The 26,054-nt window shown below is 45.2% G+C and overlaps 1 long non-coding RNA gene across 4 annotated transcripts in view, besides 2 other annotated features; it reads right to left on the bottom strand.

Annotated features, from left to right (window-relative positions):
• LOC124909489 (uncharacterized) overlaps positions 1-26,054 on the bottom strand; it is a 123,033-nt gene that overhangs the window by 88,861 nt on the left and 8,118 nt on the right. The window lies entirely within an intron of this gene.
• Positions 4,126-4,215: an enhancer, noted in NCBI's record as "active region_19756". NCBI's record gives its function as "activates an Ori minimal core promoter by ATAC-STARR-seq in GM12878 lymphoblastoid cells {active_cell/tissue: GM12878}" and the evidence as "EXISTENCE:reporter gene assay evidence [ECO:0000049][PMID:35858748]".
• Positions 18,848-19,597: an enhancer, noted in NCBI's record as "H3K27ac-H3K4me1 hESC enhancer chr3:44055399-44056148 (GRCh37/hg19 assembly coordinates)". NCBI's record gives its function as "activates a minimal SCP1, AML or CMV promoter by ChIP-STARR-seq in naive H9 embryonic stem cells {active_cell/tissue: H9 hESC(naive)}" and the evidence as "EXISTENCE:reporter gene assay evidence [ECO:0000049][PMID:30033119]".

Below are 26,054 nucleotides of genomic sequence, written 5' to 3'. Positions count from 1 at the left end.
CCAGAGGTGTGGACTGGGGAAGGCCAGCAGATTTCGTGCCTTGGCAGCCTGCCTCCCACCCCTGGCAAAATCCAGCTTAAGACCCTCTTTAAAAGAGGTGAGTACTCTGGAGTGGCTGAATGGTCACGTGAGTGGAGGGAGGTTCTGCAGCAAAGGCAGGCTGAGTGGGGGTGACCACCTGGACTGGGCTAGGAATGCCAGCTACAGAGCTGGGCAACCATGCCAGGAACATGGGGGTGCACCAGTTCTTTCTCACTGCCCACTGGAGACTCAGCTTTCAGATCTGAGATGCATGCTCAATGGCAATGCACTGCATGTAGGGTGCAGCTGAGGTGGGCTGTGCAGCATGCCTTTTCCTTTCCCCTAGAAAAGGCAAGCCCTTGCTGGAGCAACTGAGGGCCAATAATGCAGTACTGTTTGGCCATTTTAAATCCATGCTCCCTTACTAAAAAAGTAACCCAAAAAGTCACACCCCCTCCCCCGAGAGATTCTGAAATGCACCCCCACCACAAACACACATACACACACACATACACACACATGTGCGTGCACTAGGGGAGTTGGGGTAGTGTCCTTTGGTTTATGCTGCACAAGCCCACCAGCTTGCCTGTGTTCTTTTCCCATTTCTAAATATAAAATGACAATATTGAAAACTCCTCATTAAACTACACAGCCCCTGTCCCTGGGTCACCTACAGCTCTCAAGGACCAGGTTTCCACCTTCACCCCATCTTTGAGAACTGTGTTAGAAGAATGCAAGGTAGAGATCATCACATCTGTGGCTGCAGGCAGGGAGACCCCATGGGAAGCTGAGACCTGGAATGCGATGACAAAGGCTGAACAGGCAAGGCCTGTGGGAATGGCCTGAGAGTGATTGTCTGAATTACCGGGTGTAAATGGCCCCATCACCATGCAGTTCTGAACCCAAACTTGCACAGTGTATGCATGGAACCAGAGAAGTGATAGAAGAAGAATAGACGGGCCTCAGGCAGTAGGGGAGAGGGAAAACTCAAGGATGATGCCAAGATCTGTGACTTGGACAGCCTGATGGCTGGCCGTGCTGTTAACAGAGATGGGGACACAGGAGTGGACCTAGGGAAAAGATAATGAGTTCAACAGTAGAACGGCTAAAGCTTCAGGGAGATGGTGGCTGTGGGAATACGTGGATGAACTTCCCTGGCTCCTTATTTTGGGTTGATTGACAAGTTACAAAATAAGGCACAAAGCTGAGTCCTATTTAGAGTACCTGATTCCTTGATTTCTTCCTTCCTCCCTCCTCCCTATATTGATCATGCACATATTTTTATGCGCCAGGCACAGCTAGGGTTTGGGGGATACAAGAGAGAACAGACAATCTCTTGGCCATAGGGAACTTTGTCTTTCTTACTGGACTGCTTTAAACAACAACACAAAGAAGGTTCCCTTGGAGAAGCGCCTTTTGTGCTGAGATCTAAGAACGAGAACAGAGTTAGGGAGTTAGAAGGCCTTTCCTCGCATTTTGTTGTGGGAAGAGGAAGATTGAAAACGGGATCCTACTGGGAACAAAATATTTTTCAGCATCTTGAGACCCATGGGCAGGGCCTGGGCCTCAGTCTGGGGTGGAGAGTAGAGACTCCTTTAGGAGGCGGCTGAGAATTAAACCCACTAATTCAGCACGTCCTAGTCTGTCTCACTTCACGGTTCCCAGGGCCCTTTCCCACACATTCTTTCAGTTCCTGCCAACAACTCTGTGAAATAGATGTTATTACCCTCTTTTTAGGGATGTGGAAACCGAAGCTAAGAAACCAAATCAGGCTGCTCGTCAGTCACCAGAGTCGTTAGAATACAGAACACATCAAGCCCACCTTCAGACCTACTGAATGAGAACCTCAGGTTTGTGAAGGGGTGGCCTGGGGATCTGAATGTATAATAATCAGCCCTGGCTGGACACAGTGGCTCATGCCTATAATCCCAGCATTTTGGGAGGCTGAAGCAGGAGTCTCACTTGAGCCCAGGAGTTCAAGACCAGCCTGGGGCAAAGCCCTGTCTCGTAGTCTCAGCTACTTGGGAGGCTGAGGTGGGAGGATCGCCTGAGCTTGGGGAGGTTGAGGCTGCAGTGAGCCATGATTGTACCGCTGCACTGCAGTCTGGGTAAGAGAGTGGGACCCTGTCTCAAAATTTTTAAAAATTCATTCCCAGGTGGTCTCCAATGTACCTCACCTCCATTTAGGAACCCCTGGATCTCTGGGTGATCACAGCACTGGGAGCTCCATATGACACTCTCCTCCACTGTCTCTCCATTTATCCATCATCTCCCAGTGAAGTGTTTCTTGATTGACCATAAACTCCTCATCTGGTAACTCTTCTTGGTCCAGATTTAAACCACAACCCTGGGAATCAAGCCAGCAGAGGTACTCATGGAGTCTGCATAGGGTAACCTAAGCCAGCCTACTTTGTGTCTTCCCATTGTAATGCAAATTTGTAAAGCATTTCATTCACATTATACTGATATCAATATGAATTTTTAAATGATGACCAAGAGAAACTGATAGATTTTAGAATGGTACTGTACATGGACAAAGAATCAAATGGAAAAGGGGTGAGAAAGTCAACCATTTCATATGCAAAGTGACTCTCAACAGTGCACAAGGCCAATTCACTTCCTTCTTTTGAAAGTGAACAGGGAATAATGAAGAAAGCATTTGAATAAATTATGTATGGCAGTCCCAGTTCTGTATATTTACACAGATATGTTATGTTATTGGTAATTTTGCACTTCTAATCTGATGACCAATTAACGGTTTTACTTTTCAATATTCTTGCTTCTCCTTTTCACTTTTAAGTTTTTAGAAACAAGAAAATATGATTAAAAGAAAAAACAAACAAAGCAAAAGATCTAAAACCCTTGACCTAGTTCTCCTGTGGGCTTGAAAACACAGTGACATTTCCTCAAGTAAGACGAAGATGGAGTTACAAATAAACTGGAACTATGAAGCCTAGAAAACGAACTATAAAGGCCGATCTACAAAAGATCTTTAGACTACATGCAGATTTTTACTCAAAAGATGTTGCTGGCTTTGTCCTCTAGCTGTCAGCAGAAACACATACAGCCCTGTACAATGATGGACGTGCCGCCGCAGAAGGAGAAAGATAAAAGCCTTGCTTTGGGGACACCTGACTTGAAACGCTGATGAGTAAGAGAACAACAAAATCATAAGCAAGATTTAAAGATGATATTAAAGAAAACACCCTGAGAAGGTAGTCAACAGAGTCCTCTACAATAATGGGTAATGGGTTATTTGAATCAATAGGATTTAAAGAGACTCAAACGGAAAAACAATGTTATTTTAAAGTGCTCTTTTCTGGGCATGATAATAGAAGACATGGAAGAAGAAAAATGGTTGTTCTGGTCACTTTTGCTCAATAATGACCCTGCTACCTTCCGTTAGAGTTGAGCACAAAGTTGGAAAATTAGTTTCTCAAAGTATGACTTGGTTTTACATTAGAAATCCAAAGTAATAAGAGATACCAAAACAATCTATCCATTGCCTATTCAAAGATTCTACCTTTTCCATAGGAAGGGACTGGCAAGAAAAGATATTTTATTTTCAATATCAGTCAATTTTGCCTGATGTGTTATTCCTTGGTTTTATAAACAGCATCAATAGGATATCATTTAAAGCTACCCTGAAATGTTCCTTCTCTGAGGCATCAGGGCCCTGTGTCTGGACAGTGAATACCTGTCAAGTGAAGAGTCCCATGCATTGAAGGAAATTGGCAGTCCTCATGAATGAACGCTGAAAGGAAGTCTGATGTGTGCCAATCTATCATAACCACTGGCCTCCAGGTGGCTCACCTCCTACTCAGGGGGCCAAGTGGCAGAAGAAGCCACTTCAGTTCTGCTCAAAGCTAAGGCACACCCTCTAGTTCCCATGTCCCTGGGTGGGCAACACCCTCAATATAAAAACCAATCAAAAACTACAATGCTACATGTAGTATAGTATACTATGTAGTATGTATGTAGTATGTACATGTAGTACACTACATCACCTCTAATCAGAAAGTGTGCAGAAAGCGCATCTACCTGCATGTGCATGGACTGGGAAGGAAACGTTTAAGTGCATTTGTCACCAGTTTGTGCTGATTTCACCCCTTCACAGATGGGGGAGGTGAGCCTGACTCTGGCTGGGAAGCCTACCCACAGTGGGTAACAGGGTCCCTACAGAGGAATCAGATGGCCTGGAGAGTACCAGTCAGGCCCCAGCTTCCCTCTGCCTTTGGCCTGATAGCCTAGCATCTGCTCTGGAAGTGCCTCTGGAGACTCTGCCTCCAACAGTGTGGGATGATGCACAGACCTCAACCAGCCTCCTCACAGGGGCTAGTCCCATGGGGGCTGCCCAAGCAGGCACCAGGACCTCACAGACAGACTGCACCTATGCTTCCCCCTGCAAGACCACCTGTCCCACAGACATGACATAGGCTGTGAGAAGACATGGGCTCATGCTTAGGGTTCCAGATGCCTAGAACAAAAGGCAGAACCCATGGCAGGTCTAGACAGAGTAGCAGGGAGTTTAGGGAGGGGAGGAAAGGAAAAATAATGGTGTCTCCTTGCCATCTAGCACTTCCATCTTCTCTGGCTTAGAGGCAGGGAGAAACCAGATAGTGTTTTCAAAGGTACAATAGAGAAGACGGGCCCCTCCCTTGGATGCAGCCCACCTCAAGTCCTGTCTTCACCCCATAACTACTACAAAAAGAACAATCTCAGCCACCGTCTACTGAGTGCTTGCCAGCAGCTGGGTGTCTTCAGCACTTCACAAACCTTGTCATGTTCAGTCCCTAGAATGCTGCGAGGTGGGTACTGTGAAGAGGAAAGAGGAAATGGGGCTGAAGGAACGGTGAAGGGGCTTGTCCCAGCTCCCAAGGCTGGACAGGGCAGTGCAGATACCCCATCACCAAAGCCCTCACTACTGCGCTGAACCACAGAACTGGAATCCTTAGGGTGAAAGAGGGACCACACAGCTGGTCTGAATGCTGGGGTCAGCTTTGTGTGGGCTCCTGCTTGTCCTGTCACAAATTAACTCTTGTAGTCAATGGGGAAAAATGAATTATTAGCGCTAGATCATGGTCTCCCAGTGTTTTGGGTATGCATGCCACTTTGAGAGACTTAAGGATTCAGGCAAAGAAAAACAGCAGAGACAGAGGGATCAGAAGGAGGGACTGAGGCTGTGGGTAACAAGAGCCAGGAGAGTGTGGTCACATAAGGAGGTTAAGAGAATCGGTGGTAATGGCTCGCCTGCACTTAGCTTGCTTGCACTTAGCTTGCCTGCACTTAGCTCTGCCCCTGACTGCTGTGGGACCTTGAGCCAGTTACTCAATGTCACTGTGCCTCGGTTTCCTCATCTATTCAATGGGAACGATACCTCATGGGGTTGCCATGAGGATTAAATGTTTTGACTTAAAACTGTAAGTTCTTATTAACTTTTAGCTGTTACCAGATAGACTGGATAGTATAGCAATTTATTGAATGAGATATTTTAAGAAAAAGATCATGAAACCTATTGTACCTTCTTTGCCTCTGCAATGGTGCTCATCCAATTTAGTCTGGGTTCCCCAAAGAGCACTGCCTACAACAGTGGCTGGAAGGCAGGCAGTTTAGCAGGACTGGGGACAGGAGAATGGGATGGGGGAGGAGGTCACGGAAGTACAGGAGGCATCACTGGGTTCGCTGCCACTATGGGTGACTGGACTGGATCTTACAAGGACAATCCGGGGAACCTAAACAAATGGGTTTCAGAACTATCAGTAGAGGATAAATGGGGAAAGTAGATCTCTGCCAGCCCTCACTGGAGAGGGTCCTACTCCAGGGTGATGGCTAGCACAGGGCAGGAAGTGAGAGGCAGGAATTGCTCCTGGGAGGGCACCCCTGGTTGTGCCTGAGGGAAGCTGCCAGAAGCTGCCGGAAGCTGCTTATAACTAGGTTCTGCAATGGCTACAAGCTGAGAGGCTGCAGTGGTGCACAAAGGTGTCCAATATGTTCACTCAACAAATGCTTACTAAACACCTGCTGTGCTCCAGGTCGGCGGGGACACAGCAGAGAACAAGACAGGCAACGTGCTGGCTCCTTCCTCCACTGTCACAAAGGGAACAACCATTAAGAAGTAAGCCAATAAAAAAGGTAATTTCAACTGGGCACAGTGGCTTGCATCCGTAATCCCAGCTACTGGGGAAGGTGAGGAGGGAGGATTGCTTGAGGCCAGGAGTTGAGACAGGCCAGCCTGAGCAACATGGCGAGACTTCGTCTTTACAAAAACAAAAACAGAGTATCTTAGATAGGAATAAGGTACTTGGAAGAAAATAAAATGGGCTAATGGAGTGATGTGGAAGGCTTCCTTTAGATATAAGGACCAGGAACAACCTCTCTGAGCAGATCAAGTTTGAATTGAGGCTTAAATTGTGAGAATGAGCCAGCTGTGGAGTGCAAAGGGCAAATGCAAAGATCTCGAGGCAGAAAACAGCTGGTGAGTTCTAGGAATAACTAGGAAACCAGCCTGGGAGGAACAGTGTCCTGAAGGAGAGCAGGGAGATGGAGAAGAAGGGCAGGCAGGGGCCAGCTCCTGGAGGACCTCCGAGGAAGCCAAGGTAAAGAGCCTGGATTTTATTCTGAGTGCCCTGAGAAGCCAGGGGGAATTTTTAGGCAGGGGAATTACATGATCTGGTTGCTGTGCAAAGAAATAGAGCAAGATAAGAAATAGGGAGATGAATAATTCTCATTTTTATAGGTCAGAAATGGCTGAACTCACTGGCAATTTCATACAGCTCAACCTGATTCCAGTTCTACTGGTCTGTCATTGTGACCAAGAGCAACATCTTAAGAATGCTGGGCCTGCAACCATAATGGTATCTTCCAGGAAGGAGCCAGGGAGCACGTCTGCTGAACTAGGAACAGAAATCCAACCCTCCAGGTAGCTGGTGGTGGAGGCATAACAGGAGGGGTCTTACATGGCCCTTTAACTCCCACAGCCCACAGGAAATGATTTCTCAGTTACTGCTTCCCTTCCACCACTTTCCTGGCTGCTGGGTTACTCATGCTGTGCCAACACACAGCGAACTCCCCTTCTACGCCCCTGGCAACACCAGGTTACATGCTCAGACGCGATACAGTGGAGGAAGGACCTCAGCAACACTGCTTGCCTCCCTTGCTCTTGTTTCTCCTACTACCTCTAGCTTGCTTGGAAGGAGGGAAATTCTTCAGGACAGGAGAAGGGGATCTGCAAAAGAGGTGACTACAGTGTGCAACTAGTGTATCTGTTCCATATAACTAGCTTCCCCGTCAGGTCCCTGTCTTAATGATTTTGGAGTTAAGTAAAAGGAAGACTGGTCAATTTCCAAGCCTAATTTAGCACTCAGACCAGATTGGCACACATTCTTATTTTCCTACCCATCCACATTTTACTTAGGTGCATATGACAGTTCTGTAATGGTGTGAAGGTTATGCTATAATATATGCATAAGAATATATCACAAAAGTTTATCTTTGGGCTGTGTAACCACATCTAGCATCCAGTGTTTGCCATGCATATTTAGATATTCCACGATGCTACTATTACCACTTAATTTCAAAAACCATAAGCTGTCTAATAATTAAATAATACCTTGATGCTATTGTACACTTTGATTTTCATGTTGTAATCCTTGAAGCACAGAGGAAAAGCATTTGTTTTACTCCTCAGTCGCCTGGAGACTGTCAGGGAGAAATCCTGTGTAGGGGAGAGACAATGAAACCTCATTGCAAGTCAAGTCCCTCATGAGTCATTATTGATTATCAACCAGTAGAGCACTGTATTTGGGATAGAATTTGAAGAAAGGGTAAGAGGATTTTTCCTTGAATCTATTAGAAACTAGTTACTGAGGGCCTTTGGGGCTTCCTGGAGCCATTCTTAATTTATTCTTTCCAAGATATGTCGGGTTTGTTAACATTGGTCAATCATCTAGAGTAGCAAAATAGGCCACTGACCTGAAATAAAGTGCTTAAAATATGTAAATTACATAAAGAAGAAATCACTAAGGTATTTTACGGTCTCTCCGGAACAGAGTTTTGCGAAACACTACCAAAATCAGGCCCTTTTCAAGTACATAGAAGACATAGTTCTTTTGGGGAAGAGAATCATCCTGATCCCAAAATAATAATGTTAAAGTGAGGCCAGAGACAGTTTTGACTAAAAGATGGCTAGACGTCAAATACTGGCTACAAATGGAGGTCCACTCTACCAGCGTGGACAGGTCTTTTCATTCCATCTAATTTCTCAGGGAAATTCAAGACATCCTAGTGGGGTAACGAGAATGCTCCAGGCCCACAGACAGCCACTAGAAGAATTCCATCTTACTTTTGGCCACATTTAAAAATACAATGCATAGATTTGTGTATCAGTAAATACCTACACATATAATTTCTAACACTCCCCAGTAATTTCATTCCCAACCTCACCCTTGATAAACAAGGGATGATCACCAGCATCTACAAAGTAGAAGGGACTTTCTCCTGCTTCTTGATTCAACCACAACAGACCATGAAACAATACCATTGCTTGGGTATAGGCTTTTCTATTAAACAGCTCCCTTTTAATTATTCATCAAAATGAGGAAAGTATTTTTGTTAGCAAATCCTTGAACCAATAGTTTGACCTCAAAGCCAAACCTCAAATAGGAGGTTTGTCTCAAATGTTTCTGATACTGAGAGATAGTTCACTTTGCTATTTTTCCTCAGAACAGAGGCCTAAACAAACAGACAAAAATGCTTTTTAATGGTCAAGAGTTTCTGGTAGAGAAAAGGTCACTTTCTAGGTTAAAAAAGTCTCAGCTAGTGATCTGAAGGGTAATGGTTTGTAGTGGTGTTTTCAAAATTCCATTATAGTCTTTTAAATGAATTTAAAATGGACTTCAAGAACACATGCTCTCCTGGGTTACTATTTAATGAATGTGTTTGCATGTATGTATTTCGTAGGACCACGAAAGAATTCAGACCATCAGTAAAAGACTGTATATATACACCATAATCATCCCCAGGGATTTAGTGCCAACTCTTACCTACAGTAAACAAAAGGCCACGTAGACACAGCGCCGCGAAAGGTGGGGCAGGGGAGTGCGTACTGTCTGCTCACTCAAAAATTCACATTTCAAGGCATAATATCTCTTTGCTCAGGATGCAGTCAGCCCAGCATCACTTTAATTCTTTCATTCCTTATATTCTCTGTGGTAAGTTTCTACTATGCTCAAGACCTCAGAAAGATCTATGTACTGCTTACTAGGCTAAATGTATTATTGCTGTGTTAAGTCGTTACACATTCCTTCCACGTGTGATACATCAGTGCTGTGGTTCGAAGACAAAGGTAACGTGCCTTCTATAAAACAGGCACAAAGACACCAAACACACTCTATCTACATGCTAGATTTTTTTCCTTAAGCTTAACAATTACATTCCAACTCATATCTACTATCATTAATCTTAAAAATCTCTCACACCATCTGCAATAATGTCAATTCTATGATTACTTTTCAGCAGATGATAAAGGCATTTCAAACATTTTTATAGTAAATATACAAAATAAAAACAACATATTGCCTAGTAAATGTTCTGTCTTCTTGTTTTTACTTAATCACTCCAACATGAATATGATACCACCAGGAAAAGCTTATTTAAGAACTGAAAGAAAAGAAAAGCTTTTTGGCCCTTTTTCATGCTGGTTACTTACAAGTTATCGATCTGGGGTGGTTTCTCTCTTGCGCTCTTTCTCATAGAGGCAGATGCTTCATTATTCTCATCCTAACGGCTGTCATTTCTATCCATAGATTAAATCATATGTGTATATATGCATATTATATTCATCTATTTAATATATAATATAAATTCACAGTACATGAAAAATTAAGTGGATTTGTTAAAAGTGATAGAAGTATATCAAGTAGAATATGCAAGTTTACAGAAAACATGAACCCAGAACAAATGTTACTGTACTTTAGTTATCCATTCTTACATGGCTCCTTCCTCCAAAAATATAATAAATGCATACATTTTCTAGAGTTAAAAATCAGAGTAATATTTTACACAGTAAAATTTCTATTGTTGTTAGGTCAGGTATTTCCATAAAGGAAATTTAGAATAATTTAATCAACAACAATATAAATATCTTTTGTTAGAAGCACATTTTACATCGATTAGAACCGGTTGGGTTGAGCAAGCTTTTAAAGTACTGACACTAAAAATAGGTTTATCGAGATCTGTAAAGATATTTTTGCTAAGTGTTCACTGGCCTAAAAATATCTTTTAAAAACAATTTAGATAATTTAGCTGAGGGGTTCATATGCACATATCGACCCATAGGCTGTGATTTCCTGTATGACAAAATAACCTACCAAATTAGTAACACAATCCAGGTCAAGTTTATAGGCATAATAGAGTTCCTGAAAAATAACAGAGTCTGTGGAGATGATTTTTTTTTTTAATGATGGGGTTGTGTATGGATGGATACAGGGATATGGAAGAAGAAAACCAAAGTTGAAGAATAAAATAAGGATATAGAAAATACAGTTGAAGGGATGTCTCCCTGTTCACTGTGGTATCCTTTGTAATGAAAAGGCAGCATTTATTTTCATGTACCTTGATGGGAGCATACCAGTGACTGTCCCACAGACATAACATCAATCCCATAATCATCCCTAAACTGAAACAACACACCACACTGTCCAGTCTTTACAATACACCTCAGTAGTAGTTACCTGTCAAATGTTATTTAAAAAAAAAAAAAAAAGCTATGTGCTTTATAAACACTAATATTTATTTCAGCGATTCCTCTGGGAAAAAAAAATATTCCATTCCTAATTAGCCTTCCACAAAACAACAAAGTCAATGGTCACTAGCTAGAAAATGAAGCGGGGTGCACGACAACCTTTGTCTTTCATGCCCAGCAATGAACATGCCTGCGAAGTGCAGACGGTTCCCGTGAATTCAGGGTTCCCTAATTACTAAAATAAAACACACTTCCTACATAAATCAATAAATCAGCCTGCAATGGCAAGACGGCCAGTCGGTTACTACACAGAATGAATATGCATGGGCACCACCTCCTAGGAGAGCCTCTGTGCCGGACCAGATCACCAAATCCGAAAGGACAGTTGCAGAAAAGCGGCCGGCAATGCCCCGTGAGAAATGACACGTAATACACCAGCAAGAGAAAATGCCCCGCAAAGAAGTCGGGGGAGGGGGCGAGCTCAGCCCGCAGGAGCTCTGGTGAGTGTGAAAACGACCCCTTACCTTAGGGAAGGGGAGGAGTAGGCGGCCGGCAGCCAGGCTTGGTCCCCGCGCCGCCCTTGCGCATCCGGCCCGGAGCGCACAGGGGCAGCGGATGCAGGAGGCCGGCCGAGGACCACGCAGCCCGGTGACCACCCCGAGGAGCGCGGCTCCGTTACTTACCCTGTCGGCGTTATTAATAGATGTTAATGGCTCCGTTAGATTGAGGAGAAACCTCTTTCTTTTTTGTCATATGGAAATTCCAAGTTAAAAAAAAAATCCCGAGGTGGCAGTGGGCTCCTGGTACAGCGGATGCGAGTCCGCACTCCGCCCCCAGTCACCGCTACACTCCTCACCAGCCCCCAACTTGCTGCAGCGGGGGCCAAAAATCAATCCCAAGCCGGGAGCGCTCGGGCGCGCAGGCAGACAAAGACTTCCTACCCCGGGCAGGGCCGGAGTCTGGCTTTGCTTTGAAAGCTGTAACCTGCAAGTGGCATTACGAGAAAGGGTTCCTACATGTTTTTTTCCTCCAAAGGTTCCTTTTATGACACCTAAAATACCACAGTCCTGACACTGTCCCATGATAGGGGGACAGTCATGCCCCATGATTCTCCAAAAAAAAAAAAAAATTCCCAATCCTTCTGTGCCAGACCAGAATGTGCCTGGCAGTCTCCTGGGCCCCCCAATACACGACACCCCATGATCTTTCTTGACGCATGCACCCTCCTGGCGGCTAGTCTCCAAAGACCTTCCTCAGCCTAGCCACAGAACAGCCTTTAAAAGCCCCTTGGGTATAGGGAGGGAAGGAGGGAGAAAGGAGGAAGGGGGGAAGGAAGAGGGGGAAGGAAGGATGGAAGGAGAGAGGGAGGAAAGGACTCCCTTCAGTCCATTCAGAGGTCTCATGTTTAACATCAATCATCACTGCTTTTAGTTTGAAGACAAACTGTTTTATGAAATGGGTAAAAAAATTAAAAGAAAAAAAGAGTTTAGACATATAGTCTGAATACACTCTTAGTGGGAGAAATACAAAGTGTGACTGTGCCGTACTCCTTGGCTCAAGGGTCATTTAACCCTAGATGGGCCGAGACCATCTAGGTTTGTCCTACACTGACGTCCAGCAAGTCCTGATATGTTGGTGACTGAAGCATCCCACATCACACATCTATGGAAGATTCAACTAATATTTGCTGGAAAAGTGTGTATTCATTCAACTCTATCTTAAGAACTCACTGATTTTGAGTCTGTGATGAATAAATCTGTGTAGGCCAGCCTAAGTGGGGGAAGAGCTGATTTCCACCTTTCCTGATAATCAGGGTCTTCCGCACTTATCTGGGAAGGCCCCCCAAGCTAATGGCCTTTGTTTCTTCAATATGTCTTCCAGTTCTAGGTCCAGCAATTATTTGTTAATGGAAATTTGTAGTTAATATATAATCATGCTAAACATGCCTGATGTGAATCTTAATTATTTTAATTAATTACCCTTTTCTATTTCTTCTTATTCATTCAAAATTATATATGCTTTTCAAAAGTAATGAAACACCATTTGTACAATTGCTATTTTTCAATAAATCACATGGGACTTCTTATCATGATTCTCAATCAGTAAGAATTAATGGCATATTATCTATTGGTGTTACAGCTGAAAACACAAATGAGAGAAAAATTGGGAATTTCACTAGAACCTCAGAATAGTTTGTCCAATACTTTACTCTTGCTCTTCTTTGTCCGTGGGCACCATGCAAGAAGGATGGGATAAAATGTGATAAAGTTTTAGAATAATGGATATTTATAGAGAGACACATATACTTTACAACAGCCAGTATGCTTTTTCTTTTTAATTGGCTTTTAATGAGCAGCTGCAAAAGTTCAAGAACAAGCTATTAACCACTTCAGGGTCTGCTTTATGAGAAATGTGATCTGCCTGTACAATCCAGAGCTCTGCAAATTCCAGTAAACTAGAGGCAATACAGTTTTAAAAATAAATCAATAGGCCAAAGTAATTGCATTGGGGCATGCATGTCTTGGTAGGTGAGGGTGGTGGGAGAGGGAGGCATATTGCAATTCACCTTCTTATATGCAGATAAAGAGCTGCAGCTGTTTTCTTGGTTTTACCAAAAGAATGAAAAATGTCATTAGTTCTTTCAAGACAAATGCAAGCAACTGGCTTTGTTGCTGTTTCTCTCTCTCTCTCCCGCCCTCCCTCCGCGCTTTAGAGAAAGGCTGCCTTAAGATTGCAGCAGCAACGGAATCACAGGGTCTGGGTACATTAGCAGAATCACAGACAGCACCAGGGTGATGTCTTCGCTCTCCAGCTCTCTAATTATTTACCCAGATCAAGCCTGACTGCTGGAAAATCAGCTCTCTCCAGGAGGTAACCGAGCTGAAAGGTTCTTTTCACTGAGAAATGATGGGCTGGTGGCTGGCATGGAGCCTACAGGCCAGTGAGCCCTTGTGGGCAGTGTCATGAATACCCAGGACCACACCATTTTCCTCAATCGTTTCCAGGAAAGTATCGGTCAGCTTAAGAAAATTAGGCAAGAAGAGCAGATCTGTGGTGCAGAGAACACACAAAGATTGAGTCCCTAGAAGACACTGTCCTAAAAATTAATTTTGTGAAATGAGGAGAGGAGGCCTGCTGAGATTGTTGGTATTTTATAGCTGGAGCGTCCATTTAAAGTCCCTATAAGCAGACAAAGCAGATTGCTTCATTGTTCCCACTTACGGGTGCTGTTTTCTCATGCGGGTCTCCTGAAAACAGAGAATGTTCAGGAAGCATTTACGTTCTAGTTTGCTAGAGCTTTTATAAAAACAGAAAGCCACCAGCACTCTGGCCGCTCACAAGCTCCCCCAAAGCTTTGGGTCACTTCCGAAACTCCACAGAATAAAACATTTTTAAAAAATCAATTGAAATCAATCAATATCATTTATATTTGTCCATTTCTAAAAGCTTTGTTAGAGGCAACACTTAATTTAAATGCTTTCCACTTTCTTATTTGCTTTCCTAGAACTGCAAAACTACTGTCAGACATATGCAAATTTTTAATTTATCAGGCCCACGATGGGACGAATCACCTTCAGATTCCTTTATTTCTCACAAACGAACATGGCAGCCAGCGAGGATCTGTCGTGAATGTGTGGGTGAGGCACACACGCCACCACTGCCTTCGAAAGGCGCAATGACAAGGTTCACCCAACAAATACACAATAGGTTGGGGGAGACAATATATGTATTTTCGGTTGGCATTTCAAATTATGCTGTGTTTATTCTAATGTTAAAATCAATTTGTATTCTCCACATATACAGCCACCTCTTAATAGTACATTTGAGAATTCTTTTTCCTGCTTCCCGGTCAGGACTGGGATTCAAAATCTGCCGTGGTTGATTAGCTTGCTGATTTTTAAAAATGAATTTTCCCTTTAAAAATAAATCCCTCTTTTGGGGGCAACTAACGTTCTAACTTAGACCTTGGGAAGCTGTGGAATTTTATTCCTGTGTTCAACATCCAACCAAACTGCTTCCCTTCAAGTACGACTGGAATTTGTAATATAATCATCAAATTTCTATCATGAAACATTTGCATCCATATTGAAGTGTCTACATTCAAGGGAAGGGGCTCAAATTCATTTAGAAAGTAACTAATATGGGTTTGCTAAAAGTGTGTATCAAGCTTCCTATTAGGCCCTATAGGAGCACAGCAAGCGTTCCACAGAACAAAGTATTAGCAGAAGAAGTAACAGAATTTTGAAGAGGGTATAAATTGAACCAGGTAGGACTATGCAGTCATCCCTTATTTCTAGTATAAAAATCACTCCCCAACTGTCTTGAGATGCCGTTTTAAATATGGAAAAGTTCATCTTGGTGGGAGGAAAAAAAGAAAACACTTTACCACATCTCATGTTAATAATTTTTAATAGGAAAAATAATTTCTACTAGGTTACTATTCATTGGGAGAACACAAACAATTTCCTCTTTAATATATTTTTTAAAATTTAAGGGGAATATAGATGAATTTCCCATTCCTAAGAGAAAACAAAAATCTCACCATTCTCATAGCCATTACATAGAATACAGACAACAGTGTTCAAATTTAGATTTTTCATCCTCTATAGAAAAATGTTTATTGTAGTGATTACAGTTTAAACAACAACAAAAACAAACCTCCTAGGATGTTGGGGACATTTTCACTGCTCATAGGATTTACAGCTGTTTAAACATTTTGAGCTTTTTTGTCTCAACTGCATGTGGTTCTACTCAGACCAAAATCACTGTCTTGTTCACCTGACTGCAGGACAAGCTCCATTTTCCTTCTTGGTACCGGCTAATGGCTCCTGAGCTAGAGTTCCCCTCTTTATTTTTCACCCAACAGTACAAGATATAAAGTTCCTGGAGCATTGGTCCATAATCTTAAAACAAAGAGACTAAGACAGAATCACTCCATCCTGCAGAGGAGTCGGTCCATTCACTTTATGATGAACTTGGGCAGGGATTTTGGGATGGAGAGCAAGAGCAATCAACTATCTGGGGGAAGGCCTGGGACTGTCAACTGGAGGGCATCCCTCGGGTGGAGTGGGCCACTTGGGACAGCTCATCTTCCAGCCCAGTGCCCTGTGCTTTCCTCCTGGTCCAGATGTCATTGGATGCTCATTTTCTTGGCCTTGGCACTAATCGTTATCGACTGTGTGTGATCCTCATGTTATGGAGGCAGTCCAGTTGGACCACAAGTGCTTTGTGAGTCTCTCATGTGCAGTCACAAGATGATAATTATAAAAAACTAACGCTACCCTGTAGAGTTACAGGGTCACAGTGGTTTAAGCCATTAAAGTATCTGTGTTTGAAAGGAAAACAGAATAGACCTGAATGCAGTTTGCATTTACATAAACTTGACATTTGTGGCACTACGGTGAGGATGGTGCGTGGCAGTTCTATTTTGCAGAAGAGGCAAAGTGACAGGAAGGAGGTGACCCAGCAAGTTACTGTCCCAATCCAACATGATGTCTACCGACTTCAGGGCGTCTCCCTCAGGAGTCTGGAGCACTGAATAACCAGCATGGGATCATCTTGTGCTTGGATGGTAACTCTGGAGAAAGAGTGGATGTGGGCGGGAGGGAGATGAAGGAGCCAGAGATGACAGCAGGGTTGGGCTTACACACTGGCTGCCTGGGGTTCCTGGTGCCTGGCAACTACAGAAGAGACTTTCAGTCCCCTGAAGTGTACCCACATCCTGGCCACCATGAGGATAAGAATGTCCCACAAGGGAGCAGCTGGGGCAGGGAGGGGTGGATGAGGTCCTTAAACCACATCCCTTGTTGTATATAATGACACGCACCCTCAGGCCACCATCTGATGTCTTCTTTGTGGAATTTAGATGTGGCAGAAATGCCTGTAATAACCTGACTCGGCTGTCACTACTGGGCTGGCCTATAGAGGACTTTGCCACTGGATAAGGCCTTAGTTTTTCAGCACAAGAGAGGCTTTCTTAAAAGAAAAAAAGAGTCATGTTAGCAGGTGCCTTTCAAAAAGACACAGATATACACAATGGCAGGTGGACAAATCCCTCCCCCCACCTGTCACCCCTGCCAGGCAGAGGGAATCAAAGGCAACAGCAATGCATCAAGTACAGGCAAACACACAAAGAATGGGATTGCTCTGATAGGACCAGTCCAGCTTCCAGAACTGGGGCCAATTCCTGCCCTAATCTCATTCACCAAGAAGCCACAGAACATGGAGAGAAAGCAGACGGAAGACAGCTCAGACCCTGCGTGGAACTCAGCGTGGCACAAATAAATTAAATAAACAATAAATCACATAATCTCCCTGAATCCTGTGATGTGGCTGGAAAGGACCTTTTCTGATTTTAGGTGGGCACCTCACCAGACCTGTCAACCCTCTCTGCCTATATAAAACAGAGGGATTACTACTGGATGAAAAACAGCCCCAGCCGTTTGTTCTGAAATCAGTCTCTTGTCTCCAGCAACACTGAGCACCTAACATGTGCCAGGCACTTTTCTCAGTGTACTGTATACATCCACTCATTCAGTCCTCAAAACTAGCCTGTAAGACGGTACTGTTACTTTACAGATTCAAAAACTGATGCACAGAGAGGTCAACTTACTTGCTCAAAGGTACACAGCAGTGAGCAAGTGGCACAGCCAGGATGTGAACCCAGGCCATCTGCATCCAAGCCTGCGCTCCACCACTCATAAACAGGCCTGAGGGCTCAGCCCTGTGTTGAAGGTTTCAGCCACTTGTCCTGCCTCCCTTCTCTTCCTCCCCTGAAGCCTGTGCCCATCTGCCTCAGTTTCACTTCTTACTAACGTGGGTTTATGGAGGTAACTGGGATGACAGATATTGTGTATCCCTGAGCCTAAACCTGTTCCTTATTCTCTCAGCATTTCTCCAGTTAAGGTTTGTGTTGTCTTGAGACAGAATGCTTGATTAACATCTAGGTTAAAAAATTCAGGGTGTCTACTCTACCAAAGCCAATATCCAGGGTTGACAGCATATGGTTATACATTTTGCAGAGACAGAAGTCTAATATTCAAACAAAAATAATTCTGAAAGTCTCTGAAACACTTTTAAAAATGATCTGCAGAGGCAGACATAAATCACTGTGAAGGAAACTTTTTCTTCTAATAGGGATAAAAACCCTAAGGAAAAAAAAAGTTGAGGAAATGACTTACTGATATGTAGGGAGGCAAAGGAAAGTGGGCCCTAGGGAGCCATATTACAGAATTACGGAAGCCTGGAGGCCCAGCTGGGAGGAGGCAGCTAGAAAATGAGGCCCCTGGAGCATACCCGAGCCTGTGATTTGTTCCTTCTTTTTCTTCTTCCATGGCTCATGACTCAGAAACACCTGAAAGAGGCAGTGAGAAGGACCCAGAAGCCTGGGCTGAGGCAGCTTGGAGTCTGGGTCTCCGAGGCAACATGGCCTGGCTCTACCTCTTTCTAGATGTATGACCTTGAGCCATTGGCTTGCCCTCTCTGAGCCAGTTTCTTAATCTACAAAATGGTGGTAACAGTACCTAATGCATAGGTGGTTATGAAGATAAAATGAAAACATCCAAGTCAAGTGCTAAGCTCAGGAAATGCAACAAAGTGATAGTTAATAGCAGCAGTAACAACAAATAGTAGGGGTGGAGAGGCCAGCAATCCTCTTTATGTCCTAGATCATGATGCTTAGAGACCAGGTCTGTGACAGCCCCATCCTAGACTGAGAACCCTTTGCAGAATGACACAGCAGCCCATCTGGGCAGTGGGAAGCCGTTCTCACCGACTTCACACATTCCAAGAAAAGCTTGGGTTCATTAATGATTTAAGATTACAGTATTAGAAACAAGAGCCCCACATGGGAAGGACGATGGTTTTCTGTAACCCTGAATGTGGGCTTGAGTGCTCCATCAGCCAGTAGGAGGAATGGAGAGCCCACATCCGGGCATTCCCAATCCAAATGATATCCCTAGAGCCTGAGCCAGCTGCAGGGTGTGATCCTCAACTGAAGGGGACCCCAGACTCTGACCATCCTCTGCATGCCTTCTGGTGCCTTGGAACACAGCAGGGACTGCAGACCAAGGAGGCCGGAAGAAGTGACCTGAGGTGGTGGGGCAGGGTGGGGTTGAGGGGCAGATGGGACCACATGAACGAAGGCTCCTGCTGCAGGTTGCGCTCTCTCCAAAACCAAACCAGGTCTCTCTGAAGACAATTTCTTCAGGTCAAGGTGTCTGTGTGAGAAGTTCAGAGAGTGTTTGTGGGAAGTCCTCCCGGGTTGATGGAGCATTCGTGCCAACAGCCAGGGTTACAAAAACCCAGGGTCCTTCCGATGTGAGGCTGCCATTTCCAATACTGTAAAACCTTAAATCATTAATGAACCCAGGCTTCTCTTGGATTTGCGTGAGTCGGTGAGAATGGCTCCCCACTGCCCGCATGGACTGCTGTGTCATTCTGCAAAGGGATCTCAGGCTGGGCTGGGCCTGTCACAGGCCTACGACCATGAGACAGCTTCCTCGCCTCCCCCCTACCCTGCCACCCACGGACTCAACCACAGAGGCTCTGCCAGCCAGAGCAACCCTGCAGGCCCTGTCAGCTCCACCACCCACTCAGCACACTTGGACCGAACCCCAGGCTGCTGGGCCGGGCTCTGTGCGGCCTGGGGACAATGAATCCTCTCAGTGTGCTTCAAATCGAATGACCAAACACCCTTCTTAAAGCAATGCTGCCTGACCATTCTCAAGTACAGTACCTCCTATAAATAAAGACATAATGGTGCTAATGTGGACGACGGGGCCATTCTTGCACATGAAAGGCCTTCTCTGTGTGGGCCTGTTGTGAATTGTCCTTTTTCAGTAGCCTAATTGTCAGCCCAGAAACTGAGAGCAAAGCGGAGAAGAGATGTTCTTCCGGGAGGTGCCGGCCATGTTTGTGAGGAGGTGCTCACAGGGGGGCCACCCAGAGTCACCCACCTCCTGTCAGGCTTTGGGGCCCACGGAGCTGCCAAGAAAGAGGGCCTGGGAAGGCGGTTTGTTCAGTCCAGGGCCCGGTGTGCTCCTGGCACTGCAAGGGGCTGCAGCAGCCCCTGGGGAAGGGAGACCGGCCATGCTCTTCCTCCCAAAGCTGCCAAAGGGTCTCTTGGCCGAGGGACAAGTTCGGACGAGCTACTGCTCATCCTCATGGTCACAGTCCATTGTGGCTTTGCTGTTGTTTCCCTATGGGACTAGTTCTCCCTTCTCACTTGAGGCTGATGGATGATGGGAAAGCCTGTCAGTGTGCCAGCCCCGCAGGGATGAGCCTCAGCAGTCCCCACACCTAACTTCAGGACCTGCAACACAAGCTGCCAATGAAAGCCATGGAGGAGCCATGCCCCGGCCCAGCCAGCCTGGAGTGTGTGCGTAGGGGCACCAAGCGAAGAAAGTTCCCAGACAGAGGCAGAATGAGGATGGCAGATGAAGGCAGCCCAGCTGGGGACTGCAGCGCTGAGGATAGAGTTGAAGAGTCTGTGCAGGGCAAGGCAGGCCCAAGCACTGGCACTCTGGTCTCTGCCTGCCTTCTCTCCATTTCTACCCCACACTAAAATGCTTGACATTCTTGCAGTTCCTTGAATAAGCCCTGCCTTCGCACCCTCCCTCAGACCTCTGCACACATCCACATAGGGGTCTCTCAGCCTCTAATGCCTTCCTCCTCCTCCGTCACCAAGATCGAGCTTTGGAAGCTGCTCCATCCTGGCCCTCAGCACTCTGGGTCAACTTCCTCAAAGGCTCCTCTGCCAACTGGCGCCCACCCTTTCTCCCCAAGGAAACAGGAGAGCAAAGGCCATGGCCTCTGTCTCCCCATACTTGTCTACAGCAGGGGCCTGGTCCTCCCATATTCCCTGAGGGATCTCCTGGGAAGGGGAGGATGGCTTTGAGGGTGTGGTTTAGCTGTTAGAGGCCACCCTCAAAGCAGCAGCCCAAGAAGGGGGCTCACAGGGTACAGCCAGGATGGCTGAAACTGGAGACGCTAGACTAGCTGGATTGCGCTTCATGAGGTGTCCAGGCAGGTTGGCTGCGCTGGAGACGGCGGAGATGGGGAGACGATGGGGGTTAGTTACTGGCATCCTTTCCCCCTCCAGTACAGATACTTACCAGCCGTGTCTCAAAGTTATCATTCCCCCATAGAAGAAGGAGGTGCAGGAAGAAATTGTTTTCCAAAAGTATCACCAAAGCACTGGGAGGCTGCTCTGAGAATGCAGGTGTGGGTGAGGGAGGGAAGAGGTGACAGCAGGAAAGACAGAGCTCACCGGGGAGGACGATGCATGTGTGCATTTGCACGTGTGTGGGTATTGGGCAGGGCCAGTGAGAGGAGCAGCAGCAGTAGGCTGGGGGCACCAGAGGAAGGCTCCACCCACTCACACTCAGAAAATCCAAAGGCCTCTGGCACTGTCCAGGGCATCTGGTCAGGAGCACCCAAAAAACATGCCACAGGCAGCCTCTGCGAGAGCATGTGGTGCCCAGAGAGCTTGTACAAAGGCCTGCACATGGGAGGGGCAGACTGTGATTCCGGCCTGCAGGGGAATTGGAGTGGGAGCTGCCCCTGTGAGTACCCGCACATGAGCCAGGAAAGATGAGAAAAGAGGGCCAAAGACTAGAGGTGCAGAAGGTGGGGACACCTGGGGAATGAGAGGTTTGGACAAAGCCATTAGAGTAAGCTTGTAGGGTGACCTATAAACCAGAACTGAAGGGAGAGACAGATCAGCAAACCAGAGGAGGAAGGCAGATGGGCAGCCAGACCACGCGGTGAGGCCCAGGATACAGAGCTAGGAGGGCACAGCGAGCAGGCCCAGTGTGGCAGGAGGACGTGGCGGCTGGGAAGGCAGGTGTGGGCAGATGGGGGAGATGTGCACTGTCCTGTCTTCGCCAAGAAGCCCTCCCACGTTTTCAGTGGCACACGTTCTGTGAGCCAACCTATGCTTCAGCAGCTGGGGAAGGATGACTGGACAAAGACACAATCTGAGGAGGCAGAAGCCAACTGAGAGCATTGTGAAACAGCCCATGTACGAGACGGTGCAGGCCTGAATGAGGCCAGCATCAGAGTGACCAGAGAAGCCAGGCATTGCAGGGGACCACGGGGGTGGAGGTGGCAGGACTCAGGACCAAACTGGACTGTGGGAGGAAGAACAGCAGAGGAACACTGAGATTTGTACCCCAACTCGCAGGGAGAAGCATGGCAGGGTGACTGACTCAGGTTCACCCATGCTGACGGAAATGCCCACTGGGAACTGCAGAGCTGGATCTGGAGGGGTCACTGCTGGACACAGGCCTCAGGGTCATTTGCCCAGGGGATAGAGCAGAAGTGGTGAGGCTGCAAAGGAGGCAAGGAAGAAGCATGGGACCAGCTAGGGACTGAAACACAGCACCATGCCCAGGAGGGCCTGATGCATAGCGGTTACACAGCAAATGCATACAAGTGAGGAGGGTGGGGCAGTGGACATCCCAGCCTAACGCTCATTGCATACCCTAAAACCCCTCAGAAGTACCTGGGGGGTGGGGCATGGTGGCTCCTACCTGTAATCCCAACACTTTGGGAGGCCAAGGAAGGAGGATCACTTGAGCCCAGAAGTTCGAGACCAGCCTGGGCAACATAGTGGGTCCCCATTTCTACAAAATATTAAAATATCAGCCAGGCGTGTTGACATATGCCTGTATTCCCAGCTACTTGGGAGGGTGAGGGAGGGTCGCCTGAGCCTGGGAGGTCAAGGCTGCAGTGATCTGTGATCACACAACTATATTGCAGCCCAGGTGACAGGGCGAGACCCTGTCTCAAAAAACAAAAAAGAAAAAAATTCAAACAAAAATGATACCTAGGGGACTTCACATCTGTCAGTGTTTAGGTCCTTCCCTGAGACTGAGTCAGTCTGGGGTGGTACCCCGACATCAGCATGTTGGAAAAGCCCAAAGATCATCATAACCATAAAGACAGATTTCAGAGGACTGAGAGAAATGTTAATGTTTTAATTCTACAAATGGAGGTAGGGACAGGAATTTGTTTAATAATACTTTTTTTTTTTTCCTAAAGTATCTCCTGGGTGATTCCGAGGCATGACTAGTTTGGAGGATCCTGGTTCTAGGGGGAAAATAGTGGGGCGTAGGCTGTGGGCCTCTGGAGGACAGTGACCTGCCTTACCCCCCTCAGTCCCCTAGTTCAGTGTCTGTCTCTCCCCACACAGGTCTCAGGCTCCTGTGTGTGTCAAGCAGCATGGGGTCACCCTGGGCAGGACAAAGGGAATGGTCACAGCTGCAAGGCATCCTTCACTGTCTTCTCCTCCCCACACACCCATTTTTAAGGTCCTACAATGGTGCAAGCAGAAGAAACGCTCCCCCATGAGTAAATCCACTCACCTGGGGACTCTTGTATTCCTCAACGGGCTCTGAAAGCTTCCTGGTCAATCTGAAGTTGGAAGACTCACTATAATTTATGAGGAAAGACTTACCTAGTTTGAGTGAGAGATCTGTCTGTGGGTAAATGAATTGTCACAACTTCTTAACTGGTCTTGCTCAACTGAGGTTAGTAGTACTTGCTTTTTAAACACACTCAAGGTAAATTTCTTTCAAACACAGGGGTCGAAATGCAAGTCAGATGGCAAAGTTTTACTGTGTGTGACACCAAGGTACGTGGTGACAAAGAGAAGATAAAACAGTAGTGGGTACTTCTCTGGAAGGGCGAATCCAGACTTCTGTCCCTAAACCCCTTCTCCCAAAGCCAGAACTCTATAAGCACTTTGGATGTGCCCTCAAAGCCAGACAAACTAGTCAAGACCTGGAGAGGCTCTGGGACAACTGAGACTGTCCAGCTGGGGACTGAGTCTGAGAGCAGCAACGCACTGTGTCCAGACTAGGAGGATTCAGTTCTATTTAAAAATGTGGCTGGGCGTGGTGGCTCATGGCTGTAATGCTGGCACTTTGGGAGGCCAAGGCGGGCGGATCACGAGGTCAAGAGATCGAGACCATTCTGGCCAACATGGTGAAATCCCGTCTCTACTAAAAATACAAAAATTAGCTGGGTGTGGTGGCGTGCACCTGCAGTCCCAGCTACTCAGGAGGCTGAGGCAAGAGAATCGCTTGAACCCAGGAGGCGGAGGTTGCAGCAAGCCAAGATCGTGCCATTGCACTCCAGCCTGGGTGACAGGGCAAGACTCAGTCTCAAAAAAAAAAATGTAAATGCAAAAATCCAACAAGAACCACTATGATTTGCAGGGCAGCTGTGCAGTGTCCACCAGGTTGAGAGCGCACCATGGTCAGCACTGACCAGTCTCCAATTTCTGGAGTATGTGCTGCCATGGCTTACACTGTCCACAAAGAGGACTTCACAGCAAAGTGACTCATTTTCATGATTTTCTAAGGCTACTCTATCCAACACAGTAGAGCCACTGGATATGTGTGACTTTTTAAGTTTAAATTTTAATTAAAATTAAATAAGATAAAGAAATTCAGTTTCTCAGTCACACTGGCCACATTTCAAGTGCTCAGCAGCTAAAAGTGGCTAGTGGCACTCACTGGAGAGCAGAGATATAGAATGTTTTCTTCACTGCAGAAGGCGAAGAAAATTCCATTGTGCAAAAAACTCCATTGGACAATGCTGTTCCAGATACAGGCTCTATAAGGAACCTTGTCAGCCTCATGTTTAGATCTAGAAAAATTAAGAATATTTAGTAATTGTGGCCACCATTAGTGGCATCCCTTGGCTATTACCAAAAAAAAGAAAAGAAAAGAAGTGAAGGAGGAGGAGGAGGAGGAAGAAAGAGGAGGAAGAGGAAGAAGAAAAGAAAAAGAAAGAAAGACAGAAAGAAAGAAGGAAAGAAAGAAAAAGAAAGAAAAAGAAAGAAAAAAAGAAAAAGAAAGAAGAAAGAAAGAAAGAAAGAAAGAAAGAAAGAAAGAAAGAAAAAGAAAGGAGCTGCTTGAATATAACAGATTTTCCTGCATTTACTAATATCTCCAAAGAAAAAGAAACAGCAGCCCAACATCCCAGCTCTATAAATACTGGGCTAAGGAACATCTCCTAAGGGGTTTAATGAAGGCTAGAGCTTTCAAGATGTAGCTAGAGCTTCTGCTGAGCTTAAATTTCATGCTCCCAAAAATTATTTCCAGGGATTATATTAGAGTGAGAGAGTCTGACAATGCGGCTCTGTAGTAGGTGTCATATTTTTAAGCTTTATTTTGAATTCTGCAATCTTTTGTTTTTAATAAGAGAGAAATGGTTTTGAAGAACTTGTGAAAAAGCACAAGTGTCTGCAGTGGTATAACAAGAACATACCAACAAAATGGTAAGTATGAAAAGAGTGTAGCTACCTTAATGGAAAATAACACTGGCTATTCAAATCCTCGGGGACAGAATTCATAGAATGGGCACCCCCTCTGCTTGGATGAAACAAAATCAGGTCCGTTAGACACTGGGTTTGCATGTCCAGTTGTCACATGTCAGTGTGACCAAAGCACAATCTGAAGTGGGCCAAGACCACAGTAAGGTGGAGAAAGAAATTGAACTGGAAAATAGGATCAACTGTTTCCACTGGATTTTCTGATTTTTAAAAATCAGAATTTCACTCCTTCAAATGTACTCACATGCACACCCCAAAACTAAAACCAACAAAAAACTACCACCCATTACTTTTCCACCAAATTCCTACACAATCATGGCGGATCTGCCTATCATTAAGAAAATAACTTTTGCCACAGCATGTATATCAAACAAAAACTAAGCAGGGGAAATAGTCAAGCCTGTCTTCTTTAATGTCATAGGGCATGAGATCACATCTAAGTATTGCTTTTCTAGTGAAACAAGAATGGTTTAGGCTCATTTGAAATGGCATATACATTTAAGTACAGTTAAATATAACATTTCAATATACTTGGGATAAGTATGTTATACTTATATATGTATATATGTAATATGTATATTAATATAATCAATAAACATAACCTAATAAGTAACCTGGCTGGCCATAACCCCTAAGTTATTCTCCTCTTTTAGAGGATATATATTCTTAAAAGGCACATGGAGGTGCACTAAAGGTTTTTTCTGAGTTATAATATTTCCCTTAGTGAAACTAACTTAATATAACAGGGCGTAAGCAAATCATCTTGTTGATTTTGCCTTAGCAACAATTAAACCTGAATATAAACTTTATATTAAATATAAAGCTAAACTATTAAAAGTAATATATACCAAATTACTACTTTGCTAATAACTGAATTAGTTCATTGCAATTTTTCTTTACCCAGATGTTTTTCATTAAAGTGAAAAACAACACAATTTTTTAAAAGCC

This window comes from Homo sapiens, chromosome 3, assembly GCF_000001405.40.
Source record: "Homo sapiens chromosome 3, GRCh38.p14 Primary Assembly".
Lineage (NCBI taxonomy): Eukaryota > Metazoa > Chordata > Mammalia > Primates > Hominidae > Homo > Homo sapiens.
The sequence above is the reverse complement of the archived record's forward strand: the minus strand, read 5'-3'. Positions and strand labels throughout refer to the sequence as shown.